Here is a 26,580-nt window from a genome sequence, read left to right as displayed (position 1 = left end):
GTTTTTGGTAATTTTTCTAATTTATTAGTTTAATATCCATCCCATTTAAAAATTTAATTTACTTAAAAAAATTGGCACATAACAATCATACATGTTTATGGAGGTACATAGTGATGTTTTGATACATATAATGTATAGTAATCACATCAGGGTGATTAACATATCCATCATCTCAAACATTTATCACTTCTTTGTTTTGAGAACATTCAATATCCTCCTTCTAACTATTTGAAATTTATAATATAAACTATAGTCACCCTACAGTGCTGTAGAACACCGTATTTTATTCTTCCTGTCTAGCTCTAATTTTATACCCTTTAACAATCTCTTTTTTCCCCCAACCCTTACCCATCTCAGCCTCCAGTATCCTCTGTTCTACTTTTTATTTCTATGAGATCAACTTTTTTTAGCTTCCATATATGAATGAGAACATGTGGTGTTTAACTTCCTGTTCTTCTCTTATTTCACTTAACATAATGTCTTCCAGTTCCATTCATGGTGCTGAGAATGACAGGATTTCATTTCTCTTTTATGGCTCAGTAGTATTCCATTGAGTGTATATACCTAATTTGCTTTATCTAGTCATGTGTTGTTGGACACCTAAGGTTGATTCCATGTCTTGGCTATTGTGAATAGTGCAGTAAACATGGGGGTGCAGATATCTCTTTGATACACTAGTTTTCTTTTTTCTTCTTCTTTTTTTTTTTTTTGATGAACACCCAGTAGTGGGATTGCTGGATCATATGGTAGTTCTATCTGTAGTTTTTTGAAGAAGCTATATACTGTTCTCCATAGTGCTTGTACTAGTTTACATTCCCACCAACAGTGTATAAGAGCTTCCTTTTCTCCATATCTCACCAACATTTATTATTTTTTGTCCTTTTTATAATAGTCATTCTAACCGGGGTAGAATAACACATCAATGTGGTTTTGATTTGTAGTTTTCTGATGATTAGTGATGTTGAGTGATCTTTTCATATATTTTTTGGCCATTCGTGTGTCTTCTTTTGAGACATGTCTGTTCAGATCATTTGTTTATTTTATAATCCAGATTTTGTTGTTGTTATTGAGATATTTGAGCTCCTTGTATATTTAGGATATTAATTCCCTTTGGAATCAATAGTTTGAAAATATTTTCTCCCATTCTTTGGGTTGTATTTTCACTTTGCTGATTGTTTCCTTTGCTGTGCAAAAGCTTTTTAGTTTGATACAATCCATTTTTTTTTGTTTTGTTGCCTCTGCTTTTGAGGTCTTATTTTCATAAAATCTTTGCCCAGAACAGTGTTCCAAAGCATATTCCCTATGTCTTCTTCTAGTAGTTTTATAGTTTTAGGTCTTACATTTAAGTATTTCATCTATCTTGAGTTGTATTTTGTTTATTGTGAGAGATATAGTTTCATTCTTCTTCATATGGATAACCATTTAGCATCATTTATTGAAGAGAGTTTCCCTTCCCCAATGTATGTTCTTGGTAGCTTTGTCAAAAGGTAGTTGGCGTAGATATGTAAATTAATTTCTGGGTTTTCTGATTTGTTCTGTTGGCCTATGTGTCTGTTTTTATGCCAGTGCCATGCTGTTTTGGTTACTATAGCCTTGTAGTATATTTTGAAGTCTGGTGGCGTAATATCTTTAGCTTTGTTCTTTTTGTTAAGGATTGCTTTGGCTATTTGGGGCCTTTTGTGGTTCCATACAAATTTTTGGATTTTTTTTCCTGGGAAGAATGTCGTTGGTATTTTGGTAGGCGTTACATTGAATGTGTAGGTTGCTTTGGTTAGTATGGTCATTTAACAATATTAATTCTTCTGATCCATAAGCATGAGATATCTTTTCATTTGTATCCTTTTTAATTTCTTTCATCGGTGTTTTATAGTTTTCCTTGTATAAGTCTTTCACCTCCTTGGTTAAATTTATTCCTAGGTATTTTATTGTTTGTGTACTATTGTAAATGGAATTGACTTCTTGATTTCTTTTCTTTTCTTTCTTTTTTTATTTTTATTTTTGAGATGGAGTCACTTTGTCACCCAGGCTGGAGTGCAGTGGTACGATCTTGGCTCACTGCAACCTCCACTTCCCAGGTTCAAGTGATTCTCCTGCCTCAGTATCCCAAGTAGCTGGGACTACAGGTGCTGACCACCATGCCTGGCTAATTCTTTGTATTTTTAGTAGAGACAAGGTTTCATCATGTTAGCCAGGATGGTCTCAATCTCCTGACCTTGTGATGTGCCCACCTTGGCCTCCCAAAGTGCTGGGATTATAAGCATGAGCCACCACACCCAGCAAACTTCTTGATTTCTTTTTTAGCTAGTTTGTTGTTCGTGTGTAGAAATGTTACTGATTTTTGTTTGTTGATTTTGCATTCTGCAATTTTATTGAATTTGTTTTGTTACTTCTAAGGGTTTTTTAGTAGAGTCTTTAGGTTTTTCTATATATGAGTTCATGCCATCTGCAAACAGGGACAACTTGACTTCTTCCTTTCTACTTTGGATGCCCTTTACTTATTTCTAATGTCTAATTGCTTTGACCAGTTCTTCCAGTACTATGTTGAATAATAGTGGAAAGAGTGGGCTGTCTTGTTCCACTTCTTAGAGGAAAAGCTTTAAGGTTTTCCCTATTCAGTATGATGTTAGCTATGGGTTTATCATAAATGGCCTTTGTTGCAAGACATCTTACTGAGTACCTATAAAATGTACTTGTAATTTGTGTAATATAAACTAGAGATACAGCATGATGTGGTTACTCTCCTAAAAAACATGCTGTTTACTCTCAATCATGGTAGGGAGTAGTTAGGCTTATAAACATTAAAAAAACCCTACTCCTTAGAGTTCAAGACCTCAGAGATAAGCAATAATGAGTCACCAAACATCCAACCAACCAAAACCCCTCACTACCTATTGAATACTTACTGTGTGTGAAAAATTTATTAATATTTTACCTCATTTTATCTTTATAATACCACTTAAACTACATTTAACTGAGAACAAAAAAACTATGATTAAATGCAAAGGAACCTAAGATACTTTTGGACCAGTAGGGGGAAAAAGGTTTTTACACAAATTCCAAAATATTGTGGTGGTATTTAAGGTCCAAAAATACTACTGGAGATAAGAAAAAAATAGCAGTCTTAATGTGGAGTTGTTAGTGTCAAAATTAGCCTTCAGTTAAAAACAATTCTTACTTTTTTTGGCATTTTACGTTGTAAGATATAATAGCCAAGATTAAACATGTTGCCTTTTTTTGGTTAAAGCAATGTCTTTTAAATAAATATGAAATATTATTAGATGACTTGATTAGTTAATTAAAATATATTTTATTCCTCTGGATAATAAAAGCACTATATGTGTATATATAATAATATCTATCCTTTAGCAAAATTACTGATCACTTGATTTACTATTACTTTTTGGCACAGTGTTTTTCAATCTTTGGAAATTTCAGGATAATTTGCTAATGTTTTATGGGGTGCAGTAACCTTTAAGAGCCCTTTTTAAACCTGGAAACTAGTAAACAAGGGAATTTGTAAAAAGAAGTGTCTGGAGTGTCCATGGAGCGATTTCATTTTAAATGATATGTTGAGATTACTAGCATCTAGAGCATTTAAAAAACATCATTAAGCTTGGTTCCAGAATTATATGGGTTTTTAAAAACAGCTCTCTTGATTTTAAGGCAATTTGAATTTAAAATAACTTGCTCATTTCATTTGATGGGTCTATGATGTTTCTATTTCAAAGACTTTGAAAATATCCAATTAAAAATTTTATACTTCATTGGATGGCCATCCTAGTTGGAATAAAGACTTCTATACCAACATGAGAAGTAAAGCAACAAAGAAAAAGATTTTTGGCAGAGCAGGGCAAAGGAAAAACCTGCATAATGTAACAGGTAAACTGTAAACCATTTTAGGTGATCTGTGAAACAAATGATATGGTTTGTATGGTTTAGGTTTTTGGGAGGACTGCCTGAACCCCCCAAAAACTCAATTTAGAGTCTTCACCTGATACACATATGGCTTAAGGGGATCAGCAGGTTGAACTGTGGATGTAGTTGAAGGCACTGGTGTTTCATAAATAAATGGCTGTGGTTTTGAGATATGAACCTATATATCCCTTTTTAAAAAAACTATTTTAGTTTTTCATGTAATGGGGAAAGAGAAATTTTTACTTTACCTTCTCCTTTTAATGAGTGTTCTTTCTTATGTATTATTTAAGGAAACCTGACTCTTTCTTCTACATCTGCTTTAATATGTAACATTTAATTTTGCACTAATTTTCTAAAATCACAATGTATATGCTTTTGTTTGCATGACTATGAGTAAATTATTAAACAAAGATAAGGTAAACATTATTATAAAAATGTGATATATCTTGTATGTTGAAATAAATCACAGAGATTTCTGTACTGTCATGATAACGGTCTACCTGTTTTTATGGATGAATGATTAATGTTGCTTGACATTAGGTTTTTTCTGGGTATCCACAGGTGAACACAGTTATAGCAAATTTCAGAAGTGTTAATTTAGTGCTATGCTTCTGTTTTATATGCTGAGCAGTTTTTTTCTAAAAATTTATTAAGTAGTTATTATAGTTAATGAATACCCTTAGTTATGCTGCTCAAGTTTAACAGAAAATTTGAAGGTCCTAAGGTTCAGTTCCGTGATAATTAACTTTTCTGTATTGGTTCATTGTGAAAATGTGCTTGATTTGCTTGAAGCACAAAAAGGTCAGATTTTGACTTCTTTTTGAATTGGTTTAACCTGAATTCAAGTGTAATTTGATGTTATGAGCTTAATTATTGTTGAGGTATTAATCAGATTAAATGCAGTTATTAGTTACATTTTTCAAAATACAGAAGTTGTGTTAAAAAATATTCCAGAACTATTCGTGATTTTCAGTGTATGGTTAATTTGTAATCATGCTCTGCAAGAGAAGCATCAACTTTTGGATTCCATTCTTTTCTATATTATGTTCTTAGGTAATCAACTAACTCCTTAAGTACACTATTTTAATTCTATTATCCTTCTGATAGGAGACTTTTGAAATATATTTTAAGTGATAATGTTTGCTTATCTGCACAGTTATTATTTGAAAGTATGATGCATGATAACCATAGGCTGCATTTTTCAGTAGGTTAAGAAGAATGTCCACTTTGGTTCTGAGTTCTAAAACCAGTTCTAATCTGGAGTGTATCATTCAATTCCTCTTTTGTTCATCTTCTCTGTAAGTGAATGTTTATTTGGTTATAGATATGTCTAACTCATTCAATAAAGGTCAAGTCAGCTACAAAAGTACATATTCAAAAAGATGAAAAACAAGATCATGGAGAATGTGGAACTATTAAAGTGAGGTACCAATTAAATCCTTTCATAATTGTGCAGATGAGGGAATGATAAGGATATGCTTCATGTATTAGTCTGTTCTTGCATTGCTTTAAATATGTACCTGAGGCTAGGTAATTTATAAATAATAGAGATTTAATTGGTTCACGGTCCTGCAGGCTGTACAGGAAGCATGGAAGCATCTGCTTGGCTTCTGGAGTGGCCTCAGGAAACTTGTAATCATGGTGGAAGGTGCAGGGGAAATAGGCACGTCTTACATGGCAGGAGCAGGAGGAAGAGAGAGAGGAGGGAGGTGTCACACACTTTTAAACAACCAGATCTCACGAGAACTCACTATTGAGATGGCAGCACTAAAGGGAATGGTGTTAAACCATGAGAAACCACCCCCATGATCCAGTCATCTCCCACCAGGCCCCACCTCCAACACTGGGGATTACAATTCCACAGGAGATTGGGGTAGACATACAGATCAAAACCATATCACATCACACAGGGTTTAAGAATAACGTTCTTTGTTGTGTGAATGAAAACATGGCTTTAGTGTTTCAGATTCTTAAATGTAGCATTTGAAAAACTCTAATTCTCTTTTCTAAAAATATAAAGACATATTTTAGAGATGAGTTAGTGAAATCCAGATAATTCATTTTAACCATTTCGATTCCCAAATGAAATTTTTACTTTCCTTATTATGAAATATTAACCTCTTACTTCCACTCTGAGAAGGATTTTTTTAAAATAAAATTTATTATTACTACTCTGGAAAATTTGTCCTGTCTTTGATTATGTAATACCACTTATTATTTCTGATTTCGTATGTCTTTTTTCTTTATTGCAGACAAATTGTGAATGTGTAGATCAAAAGGTGTAAAATTCAGTGTGATTAGTTTAGTAGTCTAGATCATTGTGATAATGAGGCCCATAACTTGAAAAAGTTTGATCCTCTAAGGGAAAATTTAATATTAAGCTCCATGAGGTCAGGAGCTTTGCATTCTCAGTGTCTAGGGTAGTTCTTGGCACATTTTATGACCAAAATAAATATAGAATGAAGAACATACTGCAGTAATAATAGACTCCAAATCTCAGTGATATATCAGATCAAAAGTTTATTTCCTGTCATTCAAATTCCAATTCAGGTGAGCAAGGGTTGTCCTCTATCTGGTGACTCAGGAGTTTAGTCATCCTGTGATGCACGAGCTAAAACACCACTGTGGAAAGAGAAGTGTTGAGGAGGCACATCACCTTTTTAAAAAAATTTAATTTAATTTTAAGCTCTGGGATACATTTGCAGAAAGTGCAGCTTTGTTACATAGGTAAATATGTGCCATGATGATTTCCTGCACCTATCAACCCACCCACATGCATTAGCTATTTGTCCTGATGCACTCCCTTCCACCACCCCCCTGACAGGTCCCAGTGTGTGTTGTTCCCCTCCCTGCGTCCATGTGCTCTCATTTTTCAGCTCCCACTTATGAGTGAGAACATGCAGTGTTTGGTTCTATTCCTATGTTAGTTTGCTGAGGATGATGGCTTCCAGCTTCATGCATGTCCCTGCAAAGGATATGATCTCATTCCTCTTTACGACTGCGTAGTATTCCACGGTGTATATGTGCCACATTTTCTTTATCCAGTCTATTATTAATGGGCATTTGGGTTTGTCATGTCTTTGCTATTGTAAATAATACTGCAATAAACATATGTGTGCATGTACCTTTATAGTAGAATTATTTATATTACTTTGGGTATATACCCAGTAATGGGATTGCTGGGTCAAATGGTATTTCCGGTTCTAGATCCTTGAGGAATTACCACACTGTCTTCCACAGTGGTTGAAGTAATTTATATTCCCACCAACAGTGTAAAAGCATTCTTATTTCTCTGCAGCCTTGCCAGCATCTATTGTTTCTTGAATTTTTAATTATTGCCATTCTGACTGGTGTGAGATGTTATCTCATTGTGGTTTTGATTTGCATTTCTCTAATAATCAGTGACGAGCTTTTTTTCATGTTTGTTGGCTGCATAAATGTCTTCTTTTGAGAAGTGTCTGTTCATGTCCTTTGGCCACTTTTGATGGGGTTGTTTTTTCCTTGTAAATTTGTTTAAGTTCCTTGTAAATTCTGGATATTAGACCTTTGTCAGATGAATAGATTGAAAAATTTTTCTCCCATTCTGTAGGTTGCCTGTTCATTTTGATGATAGTTTCTTTTGCTGTGCACCAGCTCTTTAGTTTAATTAGATCCCACTTGTCAATTTTTGCTTTTGTTGCAATTGCTTTTGGTGATTTCATCATAAAATCTTTGCCCATGCCTATTTCCTGAATGATATTGCCTAGATTTTCTTCTAGGGTTTTTAAGGTTTTGGGTTTTACATTTTTCTTATTTAAGTCTTTAATCCATCTCGAGTTAATTTTTGTATAAGGTGTAAGGAAGGGGTCCAGGTTCAGTTTTCTGCATATGGCTAGTGAGTTCTCCCAGCACCATTTATTAAATAGAGAATCCTTTTCCCATTGCTTATTTTTGTCAGGTTTGCTGAAGATCAGATGGTTGTAGATGTGCAGTCTTATTTCTGAGCCCTCTATTCTGTTCAATTGATCTATGTATCTGTTTTTATACTCGTATTCTACTGTTTAGATTACTGCAGCCTTGTAGTATAGTTTGAAGTCAGGTAGAATGATGCCTCCAGTTTTGTTCTCTTTGCTTAGGATTGTATTGGCTATACGGGTTCTTTTTTGGTTTCATATGAATTTTAAACTAGTTTTTTTTTCTAATTCTGTGAAGAATGTCAATCATACTTTGATGGGAATAGCATTGAATCTATAAATTACTTTGGGCAGTATGGCCATTTTCACAATATTGATTCTTCCTATTCACAAGGATGGAATACTTTTCCATTTGTTTGTGTTGTCTCTTATTTCTTTGAACAGTGGTTTTGTAATTCTCCTTGAAAAGATCCTTCACATCTCTTGTTAACTGTATTCCTAGGCATTTTATTCTCTTTGTAGCAATTGTGAATGGAAGTTCATTCATGATTTGGCCCTCTGCTTGCCTATTGTTGGTGTATAGGAATGCTTGTAACTTTTTTTTTTAATTTTTTACTTATTTATTTTTATTTTTATTTTTTTCATGTTTCTTTACAATTTTATTATTATTATACTTTAAGTTTTAGGGTACATGTGCACAATGTGCAGGTTAGTTACATATGTATACACGTGCCATGCTGGTGTGCTGCACCCATTAACTCGTCATTTAGCATTAGGTATATCTCCTAATGCTATCCCTCCCCACTCCCCCCACCCCACAACAGTCCGCAGAGTGTGATATTCCCCTTCCTGTGTCCATGTGTTCTCATTGTTCAATTCCCACCCATGAGTGAGAACATGCGGTGTTTGGTTTTTTGTCCTCGCAATAGTTTACTGTGAATGATGATTTCCAATTTCATCCATGTCCCTACAAAGGACATGAACTCATCATTTTTTATGGCTGCATAGTATTCCATGGTGTATATGTGCCACATTTTCTTAATCCAGTCTATCATTGTTGAACATCTGGGTTGGTTCCAAGTCTTTGCTATTGTGAATAGTGCCGCAATAAACATACGTGTGCATGTGTCTTTATAGCACCATGATTTATAGTCCTTTGGGTATATACCCAGTAATGGGATGGCTGGGTCAAATGGTATTTCTAGTTCTAGATCCCTGAGGAATCGCCACACTGACTTCCACAATGGCTGAACTACTTTACAGTCCCACCAACAGTGTAAAAGTGTTCCTATTTCTGCACATCCTCTCCAGCACCTGTTGTTTCCTGACTTTTTAATGATTGCCATTCTAACTGGTGTGAGATGGTATCTCATTGTGGTTTTGATTTGCATTTCTCTGATGGCCAGTGATGATGAGCATTTTTTCATGTGTCTTTTGGCTGCATAAATGTCTTCTTTTGAGAAGTGTCTGTTCATATCCTTCGCCCACTTTTTGATGGGGTTGTTTTTTTCTTGTAAATTTGTTTGAGTTCATTGTAGATTCTGGATATTAGCCCTTTGTCAGATGAGTAGGTTGGGAAAATTTTCTCCCATTTTGTAGGTTGCCTGTTCACTCTGATGGTAGTTTCTTTTGCTGTGCAGAAGCTCTTTAGTTTAATTAGATCCCATTTGTCAATTTTGTCTTTTGTTGCCATTGCTTTTGGTGTTTTAGGCATGAAGTCCTTGTCCATGCCTATGTCCTGAATGGTAATGCCTAGGTTTTCTCCTAGGGTTTTTATGGTTTTAGATCTAACATTTAAGTCTTTAATCCATCTTGAATTAATTTTTGTATAAGGTGTAATGGAGGGATCCAGTTTCCGCTTTCTACATATGGCTAGCCAGTTTCCCCAGCACCATTTGTTAAATAGGGAATCCTTTCCCCATTGCTTGTTTTTCTCAGGTTTGTCAAAGATCAGATAGTTGTAGATATGCAGCGTTATTTCTGAGGGCTCTGTTCTGTTCCATTGATCTATATCTCTGTTTTGGTACCAGTACCAAAAGTTTTGATTCTTCTTTATTAATCTTGCTAGCAGTCTATCAATTTTGTTGATCCTTTCAAAAAACCAGCTCCTAGGTTCATTAATTTTTTGAAGGGTTTTTTGTGTCTCTATTTCCTTCAGTTCTGCTCTGATTTTAGTTATTTCTTGCCTTCTGCTAGCTTTTGAATGTGTTTGCTCTTGCTTTTCTAGTTCTTTTAATTGTGATGTTAGGGTGTCAATTTTGGATCTTTCCTGCTTTCTCTTGTGGGCATTTAGTGCTATAAATTTCCCTCTACACACTGCTTCGAATGAGTCCCAGAGATTCCGGTATGTTGTGTCTTTGTTCTCGTTGGTTTCAAAGAACATCTTTATTTCTGCCTTCATTTCGTTATGTGCCCAGTAGTCATTCAGGAGCAGGTTGTTCAGTTTCCATGTAGTTGAGCGGTTTTGAGTGAGTTTCTTAATCCTGAGTTCTAGTTTGATTGCACTGTGGTCTGAGAGATAGTGTGTTATAATTTCTGTTCTTTTACATTTGCTGAGGAGAGCTTTACTTCCAACTATGTGGTCAATTTTGGAATAGGTGTGGTGTGGCGCTGAAAAAAATGTATATTCTGTTGATTTGGGGTGGAGAGTTCTGTAGATGTCTATTAGGTCCGCTTGGTGCAGAGCTGAGTTCAATTCCTGGGTATCCTTGTTAACTTTCTTTCTCATTGATCTGTCTAATGTTGACAGTGGGGTGTTAAAGTCTCCCATTATTATTGTGTGGGAGTCTAAGTCTCTTTGTAGGTCACTCAGGACTTGCTTTATGAATCTGGGTGCTCCTGTATTGGGTGCATATATATTTAGGATAGTTAGCTCTTCTTGTTGAATTGGTCCCTTTACCATTATGTAATGGCCTTCTTCGTCTCTTTTGATCTTTGTTGGTTTAACAAATCCAACAAGTCTCTGTTTTATCAGAGACTAGGATTGTAACCTCTGCCTTTTTTTGTTTTCCATTTGCTTGGTAGATCTTCCTCCATCCTTTTATTTTGAGCCTATGTGTGTTTCTGCACGTGAGATGGGTTTCCTGAATACAGCACACTGATGGGTCTTGACTGTTTATCCAATTTGCCAGTCTGTGTCTTTTAATTGGACCATTTAGTCCATTTACATTTAAAGTTAATATTGTGATGTGTGTATTTGATCCTGTCATTATGATGTTAGCTGGTTATTTTGCTCGTTAGTTGATGCAGTTTCTTCCTAGTCTCGATGGTCTTTACATTTTGGCATGATTTTGCAGCGGCTGGTACCGGTTGTTCCTTTCCATGTTTAGCGCTTCCTTCAGGAGCTCTTTTAGGGCAGGCCTGGTGGTGACAAAATCTCAGCATTTGCTTTCTGTAAAGTATTTTATTTCTCCTTCACTTATAAAGCTTAGTTTGGCTGGATATGAAATTCTGGGTTGAAATTCTTTTCTTTAAGAATGTTGAATATTGGCCCCCACTCTCTTCTGGCTTGTAGGGTTTCTGCCGAGAGATCCGCTGTTAGTCTGATGGGCTTCCCTTTGTGGGTAACCCGACCTTTCTCTCTGGCTGCCCTTAACATTTTTTCCTTCATTTCAACTTTGGTGAATCTGACAATTATGTGTCTTGGAGTTGCTCTTCTCGAGGAGTATCTTTGTGGTGTTCTCTGTATTTCCTGAATCTGAATGTTGGCCTGCCTTGCTACATTGGGGAAGTTCTCCTGGATAATATCCTGCAGAGTGTTTTCCAACTTGGTTCCATTCTCCCAGTCACTTTCAGGTACACCAATCAGATGTAGATTTGGTCTTTTCACGTAGTCCCATATTTCTTGGAGGCTTTGTTCATTTCTTTTTATTCTTTTTTCTCTAAACTTCCCTTCTTGCTTCATTTCATTCATTTCATCTTCCATTGCTGATATCCTTTCTTCCAGTTGATCGCATCGGCTCCTGAGGCTTCTGCATTCTTCACGTAGTTCTGGAGCCTTGGCTTTCAGCTCCATCCACTCCTTTAAGCACTTCTCTGTATTGGTTATTCTAGTTATACATTCGTCTAAATTTTTTTCAAAGGTTTTAACTTCTTTGCCTTTGGTTTGAATTTCCTCCTGTAGCTCGGAGTAGTTTGATCGTCTGTAGCCTTCTTCTCTCAACTCGTCAAAGTCATTCTCTGTCCAGCTTTGTTCTGTTGCTGGTGAGGAACTGTGTTCCTTTGGAGGAGGAGAGTCGCTCTGCTTTTTAGAGTTTCCGGTTTTTCTGTTCTGTTTTTTCCCCATCTTTGTGGTTTTATCTACTTTTGGTCTTTGATGATGGTGATGTACAGATGGGTTTTTGGTGTGGATGTCCTTTCTGTTTGTTAGTTTTCCTTCTAACAGACAGGACCCTCAGCTGCAGGTCTGTTGGAGTTTGCTAGAGGTCCACTCCAGACCCTGTTTGCCTGGGTAGCAGCAGGGATGGCTTCGGAACAGTGGATTTTTGTGAACCGCGAATGCTGCTGTCTGATCGTTCCTCTGGAAGTTTTGTCTCAGAGGAGTACCCGGCCGTGTGAGGTGTCAGTCTGCCCCTACTGGGGGGTGCCTCCCAGTTGGGCTGCTCGGGGGTCAGGGGTCAGGGACCCACTTGAGGAGGCAGTCTGCCCGTTCTCAGATCTCCAGCTGTGTGCTGGGAGAACCACTGCTCTCTTCAAAGCTGTCAGACAGGGACATTTAAGTCTGCAGAGGTTACTGCTGTCTTTTTGTTTGTCTGTGCCCTGCCCCCAGAGGTGGAGCCTACAGAGGCAGGCAGGCCTCCTTGAGCTGTGGTGGGCTCCACCCAGTTGGAGCTTCCGGGCTGCTTTGTTTACTTAAGCAAGCCTGGGCAATGGCGGGCGCCTCTCCCCCAGCCTCGCTGCCACCTTGCAGTTTGATCTCAGACTGCTGTGCTAGCAATCAGCGAGACTCCGTGCGTGTAGGACCCTTCAAGCCAGGTGCGGGATATAATCTCCTGGTGCACCATTTTTTAAGCCCGTTGGAAAAGCACAGTATTAGGGTGGGAGTGACCCGATTTTCCAGGTGCTGTCTGTCACCCCTTTCTTTGACTAGGAAAGGGAACTCCCTGACCCTTGCACTTCCCGAGTGAGGCAATGCCTCACCCTGCTTCGGCTGGTGCACGGTGCGTTGCACCCACTGTCCTGCACCCACTGTCTGGCACTCCCTAGTGAGATGAACCCGGTACCTCAGATGGAAATGCAGAAATCACCCGTCTTCTGTGTCGCTCAGACTGGGAGCTGTAGACTGGAGCTGTTCCTATTAGGCCATCTTGGCTGTCCTCTCAGAATGCTTGTAACTTTTGCACATTGATCTTTTATCATGAGACTTTGCTGAAGTTGCTTATCAGCTTAATAAGCTTTTTGGCTGAGACAATGGGATTTTCTAGATATAGGATCATGTCATCTGCAAACAGAGACAATTTGCCTTCCTCTTTTCCTATTTGAATACCCTTTATTTCTTTCTCTTGCCTGATTGCCCTGGTCAGAAATTCCATTGCTATGTTTAATAGGAGTGGTGATAGAGGGCATCCTTGTCTTGTGCCAGTTTTCAAGGGGAATGCTTCCAGCTTTTGCCCATTCAGTTGTGGGTTGTGGGATATTGGTTGTGGGTTTCTCATAAACAGCTCTTATTATTTTGAGATATGTTATGTCCATACCTAGTTTATTGAGAGTTTTTAACATGAAGGGATGTTGAATTTTATCAAAGGCCTTTTCTGCATCTATTGAGATAATCATGTGGTTTTTGTCATTGGTTCTGTTTATGTGATGGATTACATTTATTGATTGCATATGTTGAACCACCCTTGCATCCCAGGGATGAAGCCGACTCGATTGTGTAGGATAAGCTTTTTGATATGTTGCTGGATTAGGTTTGACAGTACTTTATTGAGTATCTTTGAATCGATGTTCATCAGGAATATTGGCCTTAAGTTTTCTTTTTTTGCTATGTCTCTGCCAGATTTTGGTATCAGGATGATGCTGGCCTCATAAAATGAGTTACAGGGAAGTTCCTCCTTTTCAATTGTTTGGAATAGTTTCAGAAGGAATGATACCAGATCCTCTTTGTACCTCTGGTAGAGTTCAGCTGTGAATCTGTCTGGTCCTGGGCTTTTTTTTGGTTGGTAGGCTATTTATTACTGCCTCACTTTCAGAACTTGGTATTGGTCTATTCAAGGATTTGACTTCTTCCTGGTTTAGTCTTGGAAATGTGTCCAGGAATTTATCCATTTCTTCTAGATTTTCTAGTATATTTGTCTAGAGGTGTTTATAATATTCTCTGATGGTAGTTTGTATTTCTGTGGGATCAGTGGTGATATCCCCTTTATCACTTTTTTATTGTGTCTATTTGATTCTTTTCTCTTTTCTTCTTTATTAGTCTAGCTAGCAGTCAATCTATTTTAGTTTTTCAAAAACCATCTCCTGGATTCATTGATTTTTGAAGGTTTTTTTTTGTGTCTCTATGTTTTTCTATTCTGCTCTGATCTTGGTTATTTCTTGTTTTCTGCTAGTTTTTGGATTTGTTTGCTCTTGCTTCTCTAGTTTTAGTTGTGAGCACATCGCTTTTTGAAGCCCTCTCTGTTTAGGTGACAGCTGGCATTTCTGTATATAGTCACATGACACCAACTGCAACTGCAAGGGAGGTGGAAAGTGGAGAGGGGCACATGGATATTCATGGAGCACTGTCTCTACCACAAATGAAAACTAAGGAAAAATATCTTCTTATCCTGTAATTCTGAACTCTGTTGGTTCTTTGTGGATTTTATAGGAGTATCATAGTGCTTTCAAATGGTACTGTGGTTTAGGAGCTAGGCCAACTTTTGTGATAAATACTCTAAAACTGCTAACTATGGGTCTTAAATGTTGTCTAACTTCTCAATAATAATGATAATTATAATAATGGTAATAATTATATTAAAAATAAAAACTTTGAGAGTTTTCTATAACCTTATACCATGCTTAGAGCTTACATAGATTATCTTATTTAACCTTTCCACTAATAAAAAGTAGATTATTGCCCTCATTCTACAACTAAAGAAACAAGGGCTAATATTATAAAGAACTTGCCCAAGGGCTCACAGTCAGGATTTTAAACTGGATAGTTAGATGAGAAGCTGCATTTTTACCCTTTGCTAAAGTTCTCAGTCTAGAGTTTCTTATTTGTTGAAAATAGAATGCTAATTCTTACACGAAATAATTTGTTAGACATCTAGCACATTGCCTGTTACTCATACTAGCTTGGTGCCTAATAAGTATTCAAGCAGTATTAGTTCCCCACCTTCGTATGTAAAGAAGGCAGGCAGAAGCCATACCTTCATATGTAAAGAAGGCAGGCAGAAGCCATACCAGCTCTACTATTGATTACTGTTATATGCTTTCCAACATAATTGAAAATAATTATCAAATTATCAAACATAATTTAGGTCTTACAATTTTTGCTGCTTTATTGATTTTTCATAATTCATTGATTCCATAGAATAACCATCTCTAGGCCAACTAACTAATGTAAAAGTGAAATTGATTCCAGGATGTAACCCTCTGCTGAGAGTAACTCTTCAAGGAACAGTGTGAGGAAATGTGCTCTTGAGAGAACAAAATTTAATCCTAAATATCACTAAGTATTGTCTCAAATCTTCCCCTTTAAAACTCATATATAAGGCCAGGTGCTGTGGCTCACGCCTGTAATATCAGCATTTTGGAAGGCTGAGGCGGGAGAATTGTTTGAGGCCAGGAGTTCAAGACCAGCCTGGGCAACATACTGAGACCTCATCTCTAAAAAAAAAAAAAAAAAAAAAAAAAAAAAAAAAAAAAAAATTATCTGGGAGTGGTGGCATGTGCCTATAGTATCAGCTATCAGAAGGCTGAGGTGGGGAGATTGCTTGAGCTCAGGAGTTCAAGGCTGCAGCAAACCATGATTGTGCCACTGCATTCCAGGCTGGATGACAGAGCGAGACCCTGTTTCTAAAAGGAAACAAACAAACGAATCTCATATGTAAATAATTTGATACATATTTAAAATAGATTAAGCACATGCCTTTTTGCCACCCCAGAACATCAGGCATTATTTTGGCTGACTTTGCACAACAATGTTGGAGTGGTATCATGAAGCAACTGAATCTGCTGGTCATAACTATGAGAATAGATAGCTCAATATCTTCTGTGCCAAAAGCAGGATCAAGACTTTAGGCAACTGGTTTTCGGTATCCAAATGACCATACTAAAAAAATATCCAGCAGATTGACTGGCTAATTTTCCACAAGTGCACTTTGTGGTTAATATTTCTTGGCTATCCTATTGAGATAGATTAATTTTATACCCATGTTACATTTAATAGTGCCCAACACACAGTAGGTGCTCAATAAATATTTAACAAATGAGTAGAATCAGGCCCTTTAAATTTCTTGGCATCCATGAATATCCAGCTTTCTATCACCACACAAGATTGTCTAGGTAAACTAGTACATGGTTTAGCTTACAAAAAGAAGAGAACTTGTTTTGAAGTCAGATAAACTTTAATTCATATTAATTGGTACCACCAATTAATAGTTCTGAGATTTTGAGCCAATTAATGAACAGCTCTGTATGCCACTTTCTCCATCTGTTTTGAGTGTTCACTTTAACATGTTTAACATAATAAAGAGTATGTCTATAGTAGGTAAGCAATAATACTGGTTCAACTTTCTTTCTTCCCTTGTGTTATTGAGTTGAGAGTTAATATCATACAAGTCATATGACACATATTTCTGTGACTCACTAAAAATATCTTATCTACTGCCTGTTTTTTGATTTCAGGTTTATTATATAAAGAAACAATTGAATATGTTCTTCCTGAAGTTTAGCTGATGAATTTTATCTTTCCTATGAATTGGTATTATATATTTTATGAGATTAATAAATCAAAACCTGCCACTCACTGTGGTTTTGTTGTTGTTATTATTTTTTTTCCTTTGGTGTTCCAGAAGCGTGACACTAAGTTTTGTGCTCAAGGCAATAGATATTCATAACTTAAGTCTTCTGGTAAAACTGTCATCTCCTAGCTTGCTTTATTTGACATTTGTTTTTAAAACTGGATTTAATGGTTTTATTGTTTCTCTATCTTTTACCGTGAGCTAGACAAATCCTTTATGGAACCATACAGAATATAAATAATAAATGAAAGAATAAAATAGTTTGCCCAAGGTTTCACAGCTATTAAGTGCAGAACTGATCCAGGCTCAGTGCTGTTTTCAGCTATATCATTCAAAAGAAACAAAGTTTAACCTCCAAAAATTCTTAAACCTCAATGTTTCCCACTCAGGAACTGACTATCAGAAACATAGGACAGTCATTCACAAATGAAAATGAGGAGAGAATGCTTCTGAAATATAGGCTATTAAAGTGCAATCAAAGCTTTGGACACCTGCAGGAGAAGATCAATAATGTGGGACATTTTTCTTTGCAAAATTCTATGGCTATAGGCTAGCAATTGAATTGATGATGAGTGCTCAGGTGCTGATACCAAGGAGAGTCTTTTATGACATTATTTTTAACTTCCACATCCTTTGTTTACATGTCGATCTGCATTGCTTCCACTTTTTGACTTTTAATTATTCCTCTTTGAATGGTGGCATCTTTTATATCTACTATTGTCTAAAACAGTGATTCTCAAAATGTGAAACTTGTTAGAAGTACAGATTCTTGGCCTTATCCTAGTATTACTGAATCAGAAACTTTGCATTTTATAAGCCCCCTAGCTAGTCCTAATCCATGTTAAAACTTCAGAATCTCTGCTGTAGACCAAGTATTGGCTAAGCATGCTTTCTCAACATGAATTTTTTTTTCTTTGTAGGTTTAAATAATCTGCTGTCTTGTTCTATGACTTGAACTCAGGAAACACTAAAATGTATAACTAGAGAAAAGTCATTTTTAGCACTGATAATATTTTTCTGTAGTGTGCTTGATGGAATATTTTCATGGGCACATTTTATAAAGAAAAAATTATATTTGAACTTTATAGTCATGACAAGGAATACTATATAGAAGCTGAAGGATGAAATGTAGTCTATTAAATATGCTCTGAACCTTTCAAAACTCAATTTAGATTTGTAAGCTTAGGGCACAGATGGGATCTGGGGGAAGCTCTTTAACACATCATATTTGCTATCAAATTTTTGGTTATGACATCAATCTAAGAAAATTTCCTATGCTATTATGTCCATGCCTTACCGCTTAAACTAGTAATTAAAATAGACTTTTACCAATTATTTGAGATGCTTTCATGAACATCTTCCCTAACTTCCAAATTTTACCTGAAGTTTAATTCAAAGTGAGGTATAAAGAAGAAACTTGAAAGGAAATTATATGTTTATGTGTGTGTGAATTCACAAACCTTGTAATGATGATTTTTAATTGGTTGATTGCTGATGCTTGAATCCAAATCTCCAGAATGTTATGCCAATGACTTGTATTTTATCAAGCCCTGTTTCTCCAGTGTGCATCCCCAGGTGGTTGAGATGCACACTCATATCTGAGAACCAGTGAAAAGGAAGGTTCAGGGATATTTTTAGTTGGGGAAAACACAGATCAAGTCTCCCCTCAAACATTACAACTTTATACCTGTAACTTGGCTTCTAGTAGTTGCTGTATACATGGTAGCTGATTGAATTAATGATATTGAATGAGCGCAGGTGGTTAGTTGCTACTGTGAAAGTTGTCAAAATCAGAATGGAGTCACTTGTGTTAAAAAAAGAAAGGAAAAAACCATGACAAATAGAACAGAGGAAGGCCATAAAGAGAAGCGTTCACATGCGTAAATACCTGGTAAAAACTATCACAAAGGGCTGAAAAACCCATGAGTTTGCGCCAAGACCATCACAACCTTATGCAAAAAATGTTTCTGCAAAGACATCTGCCCAGCAATTTCCTGTCCCACTTTGGACTGGCATTACCTTTGTTATTGATCCTTGTAGCCAAGGATAATTATCTCAAAATAGTTAGATAATCATCCTCATTTTTCCTTTAAAAACCTCTGTTTTCCTTTACCTCCTGGAATACACACATAGTTTACTATGGCACATATACTGCCATTGCAATACTCTATTCCAGAATATATATTATTTTATTTCTATTATATAGAAAGAGCCCTTTTCTGCTTGGTAGTTTCTTTTTGCTTTCAGCACTTTTTTAATTCTGTAGAATGTATTATCCATACTTTAACTACTTTCTTATTTAATTGTCTTCATTCTAGACTGAACCTTATCTTTTTTTGGTTATATTTTGAGTGCCAAACCTAGTATTTGGCAAATAATATGTATATCATCAGCATTTGTTGGGTTAAACAGTTCTAAATATTAAATAGGGTAGCTCTTAGAGTAAACCTGAGAGATAAGTGACATGAATCGTTAAGCTTCTTTGGTTTATTTGAATATACATTGAAATGTTGGAAGAGGAGAGACAACAAGTTGAATCAACTATGATATATTGACTGAGACCATAGCTGGAAAAGCCACAGTGAAGTCCAAAGGCACAGGGCCGTGCCACAATACAACATTAAGTCAGGAGTCTGGAACACAAAGTTCATTGCCAATGATTAGTTTATACATGCAATACAGTTGAGAAAGCCACACTTCCAAAGTGAAGGGAATAAGTAAGGGAAGGGGAGATATATTTTCTTGGTTTGGTGAGGCTAGTGTGTGCTAAAGATTTTGTGTGTGGTCAGAAACAGAATATTAAAAGATATAAAGAAGGGTCAGAACATGACAAATGGCAAGTTAGGCACTTCATTCATCCCAAATTAAACTTGACAGATGAATTCATGTTATATTCTAGCTCCAGTTGCTTTTTAACCTTTCTTAGCCAGGAAAAAAAGCAGGGCTTTATTCAGGCTGTTCTACTCATATGCCAAAAAGTCTAGAGTAGAAATGGACCATGGTGTGGAGAGCAGTTCCTGGTACTGTGGTTGAAATCAAGGATTGTTTAAAGACTGATGTTCTTTTTTCTGCCACTGTCCACACCCATTGTCTAAATTCTAAATCCTGTTGTTGTCTCCTTGAATAGGCTTGCAATGTCCTGATTTTTAATAGTCTTGTTTAATTCCCTATCTCATGCTCCACAAACTGCTTTCTTGATTTCAGAACTTTTATTATTGCATTTGCAGATCACTTAATTTTTGGTTTCCTGTCCAAGCAACATAAGTTCCTATAAGTCCACTCTATTCTTTGAGGTCTTAGTGCATTTGCAATGAATGCTGCCACCATATCCGATGCAATCTTAGGTTGGTGCCTGTCACACGTATTCTACTTTCAAGTCTGTCTCAGTCTTATCTGGAGGCCTCAAGATCCTAGCACTGGATTTGTAGGTTTTGCCACCTGTGTTCACATGGGCTCCATTGTATTCTCCTCATTTACATCACTGATGCTGCTTGGATCCCTTTCTAAGTGAATATGGGGAAAATTAGATAGTACTTCTATTTCAAGTTTTTATTTAGAGATGAAATGCCAAAACTTTCCAGGAAAAATAGTTTTATTATCAATCCAGAGGTTCAGAGCCCAAGGAGATTTAAATCTTTCAAATTATATCAGAATTCGATTTTCAGAAAAGTTAGTGTATGTTAAAATTATACAAAAAGTCTTTGGTTTAGATTCTGGACTCAGAACATTATAGGCAGATTTTTCACTAATTAAAGCTTTGGCAGGACACTCACAAGTTGTGAGGTATGTGAGAAATTATTCATTGCGTGGGAATGTCTCACATCTCACTTCTTGTAGGACAACCAGCATTCTTTGACAAACCAAATCAATCTAAACTGTACCTCTCCCCTTATTGTGGCATTTTAAAACCTGCCCACAAATCTCCTAAATGCCCCAAATGGGTCAAAACCACCTTTAATGAGAATCACTGGCATAGATTGTTTAATTTTCAGTCACTGGGATTGGGGAGGAACCCACAGAAAATGTGGGTGCTTAAAACCTGAACAAAATCAGCAAGAAGGGTGACTGCTGGGAAGGCATCCACCAGTGTATGCCACAGGAATGGGCTAGATGATATTCTGTGAGGTCCCTTCTAGCTATAGAATTCTTACTATTTATGTCATAAGTACAATATAAGATCATTTGTGGATAAATAATCACAGGTAATGGATATTTATATTATACATATGTATTATAGTTCAAAATTTTAAAGACAGACTCATCAATTACTAAATATAATTGATAGATGAACTTCTCTTAAAAATAAAAAATGCAACAATTAAGATATTTAAAATCTAAGCTTCCAAAAAATAAAGTGTCATATGGTATTTTAGAATAATATTAATTCAAAGAAGAATTTTGCTATGCTTAATTCAGAACAATAGCATTTGTGATATTAATGAGGACAAATGAAGTCAAGACTGTTTAATTCAAATTTACCCAATTAAAATAATTAAAACTTTACATAAGTTTGTATCTTAGTTCTTTCTGAGAAAAGGTTGTAGATACAATTTTTTATCTGTTCTCATGTGACTGGTATAATGGGTGACCAGTGATCATCTTTGTCTTATTTACTTGAATCCTGAAGGATCTAATATCACCTCTGAGACCAATGCATGTTCAGTAGCTATAGATGTTTATTCTATAAATGAATGTCTCTATGAGATACTTTAGAAAAGATTATGTGAATCAAATCTAAGATTAGTCTATTATAAATAGTTTTAATGATGAAAAAAACAATTTCTTTGCATTTTTTCCCTAAGCTCTTTTACTCGAGGTAATCTTGCATGGACTGATACATATTTTTTTTCTATGTGAACTTCATGAACTAGATGATAGATGGCTAAGTGTCAGTAATCATTAAAAGAACAAGTTTCTGTACATCTCATTATCATTCTGCCTGTTCACTTGCCTCATGTTTTTGCTGTTCTTCTTTTTGACAGGGATTCGATAAACAAGTGGATGTGTCATATATTGCCAAACATTACAACATGAGCAAAAGCAAAGTTGACAACCAGTTCTACAGTGTGGAAGTGGGAGACTCAACCTTCACAGTTCTCAAGCGCTACCAGAATCTAAAGCCTATTGGCTCTGGGGCTCAGGGCATAGTTTGGTAAGCGGAATGGATTTGCTGTATTTTTAAAGGGAACACACCGTGTGCAACTACTAGACACAAACACACAAACAAACAAAATCCCCAAAATAAATAGCATAATTTGGGAGGGAAAAATAATCCTACTGAAGAAAAAAAAATAACATTATGAGCATTATGTTTAATTTGTTATCCACTTGCTAACAATATATACAACTTGGCTTGTGACATGTTTTTTTTTTGGTCAGAGAAAAAAAGTTATTACACAAGAATCATAAAGAAATAAAGAGAACCAGAGATTTTCTAGCAGTTGCTAATGTATTTGTAGAGTTTTATTTGTTGCACAGCAAGAAATGAGGGGACATGTCTTAAGATAACAGCAAATAAAACTCCTTATATGCTAGAGTGGAATAAAAGCTATTTCAAATGTTTCTGTAACTTTTCAAATTCAGTGTTTGAAACTGAGTTACCGATTTAGAAAAAGTAGTATTTTAAAAATGTTTGCCTCATGTTTCCAAAATGGAAAGATTCTGGGCTGCTTAGTAACAATTCTTTTATGACATTTTTGAGTAGCTAATTAAAATTATGACAAATCTAGATCTGATTTACCTAAGACTCTTGCAAAATTCATGATATCAGGTTAATTGATAAGCATTTCTTTTACACAGTTTTAATTTGTAATGTCACAACCAAATGTATTTAATATAAACTTATTAGTATAATCATTTTTAATCTTTCTGATGGCTCACACAGATAAGTAAAAATTCAGGGCATGTACCCTGAATATGTATATTTATATATGTGTATTTATTTATAAAGGATATTTATTTATACAATATATTTATTTATTACTGCTACATTCATAATGTCCATTTAAAAACACAAACACTTTTAAGGGATGAGATGAATTTACAGCAAATCACCATAAACTTAGCCACTTTCTTGCTGATCTTACAGTTCTGTAGGTCAGAAGTCCTACAAGATTTCATTTTAGCCCAGTGGGGCTAAGATCAAGATGGTGGCAGGCTGGGTTCCTTTCCGGAGGTGCTGGAAGAGAATCTATTTCCCTGATCATTTGAATTGTTGGCAGATTTCAATTCCTTGCAGTTGTGATAAAAAAAAAGAGGTTTAAAATTTAAAATATTTTAAATGTTTTAAAGTTTGTGTTTAAATGGCTAAGTTTATGGTGATTTGCTATGCTAGCAATATTAATGCACATGGTATAGTAAAGATTCTAATATTAAGACAATTGCTGTAACTCTCCTAAATTTACCAGTGGCGGGAGAAAAAGAGTAGTTTCTGGCTACCTTTCTTGATGGAAAATTGTAGAATATTAACATGAGAAAGTTTTCCTGACTAAGATTCTCAGTCCAGGTGCTCAAATATTAATTGGGATAGTTTCATTTTCCTTTGAACAGACCTGCCACAGATTTGTGGCAGTGAAACTGAGTACTGTCAGTGAAAGAAAACTGATAGACCTTTAATGACTCAAAAATAGATCCAAAGCAGCATTTTGCTCAGGAAGTTAACAGATTATCACAAAGATTTGAACATTTTCTAATAATTTTGTAGTATGTTTTATAGGATATTTTGGGCCTCTATTTCTCCTTTCTATAGGGTGGAAGTTATCTTTGGCTTAGATATAGATACTGCAAAATTTTTTATATTGCCTTTGTCAACTGTGAGCTCATCTGCCTCTCTTATGTCAAATGCATCCATTCCCAGACATGCTTCTGAAATCCACAGACCTTTTCTATGTGCACAACTGTCAGAGTACATAATATCTTGAATGTTCCATGCAATCCTGAGTATAGTGACTGGTGCAAACTGGAAACTGGGCATATCTGAGATCTCTGATGGACAGACAAACTGAAACATATCATTAATTTATTTTGCCTTATTTTCTTTGGAGCAGAAATACAACATGGAGGAAAAAATTACAAAACAGATATCATCATTTTTGTCCATGTGTCACCGCATGTAATTTTGCATGTGTATGCAAGAGAAATTCTGCTTTTCAAGCATAAGTATTGGCATATGGATACCTATTATGTCATAGAATCTCCATCCTCCTAACTTGTTTGAAATGGAGTCTCATTTCTACTGTTCTGGTTACCTTAAACTTGTTATTGGGTTTTTACAATCTTTTCCCCCACTTTGGACTGTTTTATTTCTTACTTATCAGCATGGGGGAAAAGGTAATACTAAAATATCTTCAAAAGAAGTTATTACTATACTATATTTCATTTACCATTGATGGTAGGTCAAAAATGTCAATGTTGAGCATGATTAAACAAAAGCTACTGTGAAATATTGGAAAAAAATGAAAATTTTCCTTCTGCCTTTGAGGGAAAGAAAAGATTATCTGTTGAAGCAGAAACAATGAGAATTATTCTGCTTCACTGTGTGAGCTGAGAAGTTCTCTACAGCCTCGTAGGTGGGGAATTGTAGAATAATCTGCAAGATGAGTTTTTAGCAACAGTGGTCAGGATCCAGAAGAGCAACTCATTCAGAACATTTTTCCAATCATCAGAAGAGGGTCTCATTAGTGTTTTTTCTGTTACCAACTCCGGAACAAAAACAAGCATGGGAAGAAATCAACAGTAGGGGTTTCATTGTTTTCACTCACATCTATCCTGCTGTTTCTTGCCAAGCCAAGGAACATTTTCTACTTTCTCATTTCTCTCTCTAAAGATGATTCAAATGGACAGCCAAAGTGGTGGCAAAAGTTAACAACTAAGTTTAGCAGAGACAGCTTGCCAGGGCTGGTCTGCTCTTTAACTGAAAAGAGCTGATTGTATGGTTTTAAATGAAAGGAAGTGAAGCCATATTATTTCTGTCTTGGTGGTGTTACACACCATCAGCTTGTAAGTGGTCACAATTCAATTTTGCAAGATGATGTTAGGCAGGATATTTACAGAAAACTGTAAGACGAATACAATTCTAAGATAAAATCATAGAATTGTAAAATATCTGTACCTTGAAAATTAAGTATTTAAAAATAAGATGATACATTTTATGTTAACCAACCTTTAAAAAAATTCCACTTGGAGCTAGAGGATGGCATTTAATTAAAGTTGAAATAATCATAGTTATAAGATGCCCTGGGAATAATCCAATGGATTAGTTTATCTTAAATGGAATATATATCCATGTATATGTATACGTACCCGTATTTGTGGTTTAGCTTTCTGTGGTTTCAGTTACACATGATCAACTAGGATACGAAAATATTAAATGAAAAATTCCAGAAATACTTTGTAAGTTTTAAATTGTACACCATTCTGAAATCTTGCCCTGTCTCACTCTATCTCATCCCATCCTTCTGGGGATGTGACTCATCCCTTTGTGTAGCATATCCAGGCTGTCTATGATACACCTGTTGGTCACTTAGTGGCAGTCTCAGTTATCAGAGCAACTGTTGCAATATTGCAGTGCTTGTGTTCAAATTTTTCTTATTTTAATTAATAACGGCTCCAAAATACAAAAGTAGTGATGCTGGCAATTTGGATGCAGTAAAGTGCTTCCTTTAAGTTAAAAAGTGAAAGTTCCCAACTTAATGAGGAAAGAACAAAAATCTTATGCTGAGATTGCTAATGTCTTCAGAAAGAATGAATCTTCTATTTATGAAATTTGAACAGTATGTTATTGCAGTTGTTCTATTTATTATTCTTGTGAATCCCCTACCGTGCTTAATTTATAAATTACACTTTATCATAGGCATATATGTGTAGGAAAAAACATAGTATATATAGAGTTCACTATTATCCAGTTTCAGACATCCACTGGGGGTCTTGGAATGTATCTGCCTCAGACAAGGGGGTACTACTGTAATGAATATGTAATACCAATATACGATTATTATATATTATATATACATACATATTAATCCGGTGGGTTAGTTTATCTTAATTGGTTAGGTATCATATATGTCATTTTAAATATTATATATATGATAGGATATATATCTTTTTGTTTTGGACAAAAATTTGAAAAAATCATTTCTGGTGAATGTCCTTCAATAAGTGGTCTACAGTAACAAGACTATGCAGATAAACAATTTAAGATATAAATTGCCAGGCATGTTCAGCAGAAACTCAGGTGTTCACATATTCTTCTTTGAAAAAAAGTTCTCCCTTTTAAATGTGCTCATTTTCATTTAAAAAAAGACACTATTTACTCTGATGTGTTTAGCAGCTTTTTCCATTTTGATGATGAATTTGATTTACTCCATCCGCACTCTGATTTAATCACCCTTGAACTAATAACATCCATCCACAAAATGATTGGAAAAGGTTGGGAACATCTTCCCTAAAGGGTTGGTAAATATGCACCAGAACAAAAGTGATTGAAAGTTGGCCATGTTAGGGTGCATGACAGAAAGGTATTTAATATATATTTCTTGCTGATAAAAATTACGAGAAAAATTGATGAAGTTCTCAGGATTCTGTTAAAATTTGCATATTTAAATATTATAGATTCAATTGTCAGTACTTTAAGATACCTTATATTATCATCTTTAGTAATTATAGTTACAAATAAACTTATGCCGAAAAAATATTTTTTTTCCCATTGTGGTTTATCAGTGATAGCTTTTAACTTTCAGTCTTTCAGAATCTAGGTTTACTCATCTGTAAAATGGATTTTCTCATAGGACTCAGGAGAGTACAAAACAAGCTAGATACATAAAATTGCTTTA

The 26,580-nt window shown here is 35.6% G+C and overlaps 1 protein-coding gene and 1 long non-coding RNA gene across 15 annotated transcripts in view; one reads left to right on the top strand and one right to left on the bottom strand.

Moving 5' to 3' along the window:
- MAPK10 (mitogen-activated protein kinase 10) overlaps window positions 1-26,580 on the top strand; it is a 583,670-nt gene that overhangs the window by 412,875 nt on the left and 144,215 nt on the right. For all 14 annotated transcript variants that reach the window (XM_047415964.1, NM_002753.6, NM_138982.4 and 11 more), the window contains one exon: window positions 21,733-21,902. In XM_047415964.1, coding sequence (XP_047271920.1) covers window positions 21,733-21,902 — 170 coding nt within the window. The remainder of the gene's footprint in view (window positions 1-21,732; window positions 21,903-26,580) is intronic.
- The window catches only part of MAPK10-AS1 (MAPK10 antisense RNA 1), a 100,121-nt gene that overhangs the window by 38,727 nt on the left and 34,814 nt on the right, over window positions 1-26,580 (bottom strand). The gene's annotated exons all lie outside the window — the stretch shown is intronic.

The sequence above is a fragment of the Homo sapiens genome, chromosome 4, assembly GCF_000001405.40.
Source record: "Homo sapiens chromosome 4, GRCh38.p14 Primary Assembly".
NCBI classification, from domain to species: Eukaryota; Metazoa; Chordata; class Mammalia; order Primates; family Hominidae; genus Homo; species Homo sapiens.
Note: the sequence above shows the minus strand (reverse complement) of the source record. Positions and strands in the feature narration are given on the sequence as shown.